Source organism: Homo sapiens, chromosome 5 (assembly GCF_000001405.40).
Source record: "Homo sapiens chromosome 5, GRCh38.p14 Primary Assembly".
NCBI lineage: Eukaryota > Metazoa > Chordata > Mammalia > Primates > Hominidae > Homo > Homo sapiens.
The window spans coordinates 51093457-51098025 of NC_000005.10; the positions used below are offsets into that span (position 1 = coordinate 51093457).

At 34.7% G+C, this 4569-nt stretch overlaps 1 annotated feature.

The window, feature by feature from the left end:
* Positions 1609-2967: an enhancer, noted in NCBI's record as "VISTA enhancer hs1187". NCBI's record gives its function as "enhancer in: hindbrain (rhombencephalon)[5/7] | forebrain[7/7] | eye[5/7]" and the evidence as "EXISTENCE:transgenic organism evidence [ECO:0001131][PMID:17130149]".

The window sequence follows — 4569 nt, forward strand, 5'->3', positions numbered from 1 at the left end:
CACATATGAAAAGCACTTACCACTATCCCTAGCATAATGCTTTATTATTATTATTTAAATGATCTACATTTGAGACTGAGTTGTATAAAATAACCTGAGAACAATGCAGACAATATGTTATTGTAGTGAAATGCTATATTGAGTATATCAAACTAGGCTCTACACTGATGGAAACCTAGGCATAAAAGCTCACTAAAGAGGCCTAACAGCTTGGCAGCAACACAAAGATATTAGATCCAAATGCTTTTTAAATGTTTTGAATAAAATAATTAAGGAACGGATTGTAAAGGGACAAGAGTCAATACTGGAAGACCAGTTAGGAGGCTATTGTAGTTGAGACCTAATATGGCAATTAGGGTAGAAGTAGTGGATTTAGAGAAAAATGGACATATTGAAGATATGTATTGGAAGTAGAACCTTCAGCACTTGATGGATTACCTATGTCCTGTGAAGATGAGGGAATATACAGAATCAAGCATGATTCTTCCCCCCATGCCCAACCTTAAAATAAATTTTTGGCTTTAACAGTGAAAGATTTGGTGACACATTTACTGAGATGGAGACAATTGAGGAAGAAATAAGTTCTGGACCCATGAGGTTAATGGTACCTATGACATGTCAAGCAAGGGACCTGGACCAGAGACATAGAACTGCATGTAATGAGTTGTAAAGGACATGTAAAGCCATGACAGTAAAGTCAGTCAGAGAGAGAGAATGTTTAGTAAGAGAGGTGAAAGGAACCCAGGACCTCCAACTTTGCAAGATTAGGAGAAAGGGGAAAAAGCCCTAGCAGGGAAGGCTGAGAATTAGTGTCTTGTGGAAAACAAAGATGAGGCGAATTAAGAGGAAAACAAACAAATAAAAACAATAAAAAGAGCTAACCTCTGAAGAGCACATTAGGTCTTGTATTATTGAATATTAACTAGCAAATACCTCTTTACCCTAGTCACAACCAGGAGCTTCATTAACATGAAGCTTTAAAGCAAGGAAGTATGTATTTCAGATCATAGCTCCCAATTAAACACAGCCCCTCAGTTGTAAAAGTTAAGATACGATAAGATCCAGAGGTCTTCTGATTTATGGTTCCTTGGTTCTCATGTTTTGGATGAAAGACAAGTCACTGCTCCCAGTAGAACTTAGAGTAGAACCTCTACCATAAACTGAGCTAGAACTGTCTTTGAAAACAATGCAGCCTGGAACTTTTTAAGTTCACCCTTTGTTCCTACTTCCTGATGGCTTATTAAAGGCAGAGCCAATCAACAAACTCCCGAAAACTATCTGGTGACATACCAGCCCTTCTGATATTTTCCATCTACCTTGAGATAGAGAATCAGCAAGATTACAAATAGAAATATGCTCCCATACGATTGCTTTGCCTTAAAGACAGAGAACTTATCTTATTCATTTCTGCAGTTTCAGCACATAACCAGTACCAGGTAGAGAGTGGAAACTTAAATCAGCATTTCGCAAGAGAGAATAAATAAATACCCAATACAGAGTGCTACAGAACTAGAAATAAAATGATACAAAAAATCTCAGCTGCTATTATGAAAAATTCTTACATCATTTTTATCTGTGTTCTATATACAGTATTGATATGTTTACTATACTATCAAAATTCCAAAGTCTCTACCTAGGCATCAATATTCTTACAAATCTATGAATTTTCTATCACACATTTTTTTTTCCACTAAAGGACACTATTTTGCTAATGCAAGAAAGCCAGTAAATAGAACTGAGCCCAAACTCTCTAATACCAAGGGCTATGGTGAGGCTGATCCAGGACTTGGTAAGTAGTATATCTTATTTTATTTAAAAAAATCGATATTTAATAGTCTGTTAGCTGAGCCAAAAACACACAGGCTGCAGAAGAAACACTTGTAGATTGCAAAGTGATATTTAAAGAAAAATGCAGACTTGATAAGCATTTCCATGTTTCGTATATTTGGTTTTCAAGAAAAGATGTTGAATAGGCCATTTGATATGTTAGCTGAATGCAGCTGTTTAGATATTTGTTTGGTCTACTATTGAATTTTTCATTAAAAATATGTGGTTAACAGCAGCCAACCTGATTTGCATGTGTGTGTTCCTGATTTGTTCACCGCAATGCCTCCCGTCTCCTACATCTTAATCACACCCAGGCGCCCGCCCCATTACATTACCAGAAGGGAAGTGATGGACATCCTTTGACTCTCTTCATGACCCCCTGATAATCCTGTTTCACACATAGGCTCCCTGCTGTAGGAAACACAAAAGCTGCCACTGTAGTTTTTTACTTCCAGTCGATATTCTGACAGACTTGATCTAGCAAATTAGTATGCTGTGGTAGGGGCACGACAAAAGACCCTTTTGACACACTCTGAATCAATACCAAGGCCGACAGAGAGCCATTTCACCGTAGTTCTGTTATTTTTCCCCTTTTGATGACCCTTTGCTTTTTTTCCCCAGCTTATATGACCTTGTCAGATTTAAAAATATAATGTTAGAAAAGTCATCCTTGCACACACATGTGCACACAAAGACCATGTAGGATATACTAAAATTCCTAATAACAATGTAAAAGAGAAAGGCAGCTGGTGACGAAATTCAAGTACCTTTAAAAAAATGTTTCTTCTTTCTACCAAAAAGAAAGGGAAAAATAGAAAATAATCAGACATCTTGAATAGCTGTGTATATTAGAGAATATAGTCTAATTAGGCCAGGTTAGTTTTCATTTTATGTTATACTTAGTTACTGGTTGCCTTCAAATTCTAAAACTTGTTAAAATGAAACATAATGTAATCTCATGGATGTTTTATATTTTAAGCTGTTCATTAGTTATATTAATCAAGGCTCCTGAGTTTAAAATAGAGAGCATTTTGTTAAATATTTGAAGTTAAAATCATTAGAAAGTAAACTTCAAATAACTATGGAGAACAAAATAAAGTATTAACAAAAATATAAGGTCTTTCCTTATTAACCTTTGCCAAAATAAAATTTTACTTTTTAATATCATGCATTTTTGGTACAGAAATTCTAATTTTCCACATTTATAGTGTAAGGCATATCAGTGTTATATCCTACTTCCAACATATATGATATAACCTCTCCAAATGTTTTTTATTTTTTACTTAATCCCCAATGTGATAGCACAAATGTTTGTTCATCAAACAAAAACACTTACATATTTAGTATAAATGGTGGTCCTCTATTAAGTTTAATATATAAGTGCGTCTGGTAAAACAGATATTGGGATTTCATCCTATTTTTATCTTCAAGGTATACTTATGTACATTATAAATATGAGTTCACTAAAATAATATATCTTTATTCACTCTTTATATAGCAAGTGAGAAACTCATGCTGTAAAAATGAACTCTGTTGAAATATCTGCTGTCTCTTTTTTTATTGTCATCAAAGAACACAGGGAAGTATTTGAAAATGTTTCTCAGCGCTTAAAATGTGAATGTTCCAAAGATCAGACAAAGAAAAATAATAAAAAATAGAGACATTCTCAGGTTTAAAAAATGCTTTACCTCTACAAAGAAACTCTCTCCTAAAACAAGTGCACAGTTGATTTCTAGTGTTTGCCAGGGAGTAGGTACACCACCTATGTGGCACTTCACCACCTTCAAGGACGGAAACGTTGTTATCTCAAATAAAACAACTCTTACAGACTCAATTCAGATATAAGACTACTTAAGTTAATCCTTTCTGGAGACACAGTGGCAAAATTACCCAAGCTAATTCCAAATCCTTGTTCATTTTTCTTCAATGAAATATTGCTAGGACCTCAAATAGTCTCCAAATCATGCCAGCTTTAGGATAGTATATGTTCTTTTGATTTATCAGTACTAATATCAGGACATACTGATTCATGAGCTTTCTATATAAGGCACACAGTCATATCACAATAGATATATCCCAATTATAATGGCATTAATTATATAAATCTTTTTGTGAAGTCTACATTTGCAGGACAATACAAATCTGGAAATGTATGGTATTCACACTTAAATAAATTACTGTTTAATAAAATTTCTTTTATATAATCCAAGCTACACAGACTTTTGGAGAATAAGTGTCTGGTATAAATAATATCTTTATTATTATTCTGGTTTAGGTTATTAGTTAAGAAACCAAGTAATAGATAAAGAAAAACAATTTTCCAAAAATGCCGTGCCTGCAAGATGCAGGTATTTTTAATTTTCTGCATTTTTTGTTTGAAGAATATTAATAATTCTTAAAAATAAATGAAGTAGAAAAAATACTGAGTTCTTTTGGATGTTTGTGGCTTCATGTCGAAACAAATAACACTTCCAATAGCCTTTTTGGATTTTGACTTCCCCAATCCAATGTGCACACACACAAACACCACACACACTGTGACCCACCGGACTACAGAGACTGTAACTGTGCTGCTGTTAACGGTGGAATGTATCTGAGTAACATGGCAACAAAGTATGTTAGCAGCAGCAAATCCCTATGGGTCTGCAGCAACCTCAATTCTTGCCTCCTCAGAAGAAAGAATTCCACTGAGGGGCATAAGGCAGAAGGAGAGACTGAGGCGAGTTTTGGGACAGGAGTGAG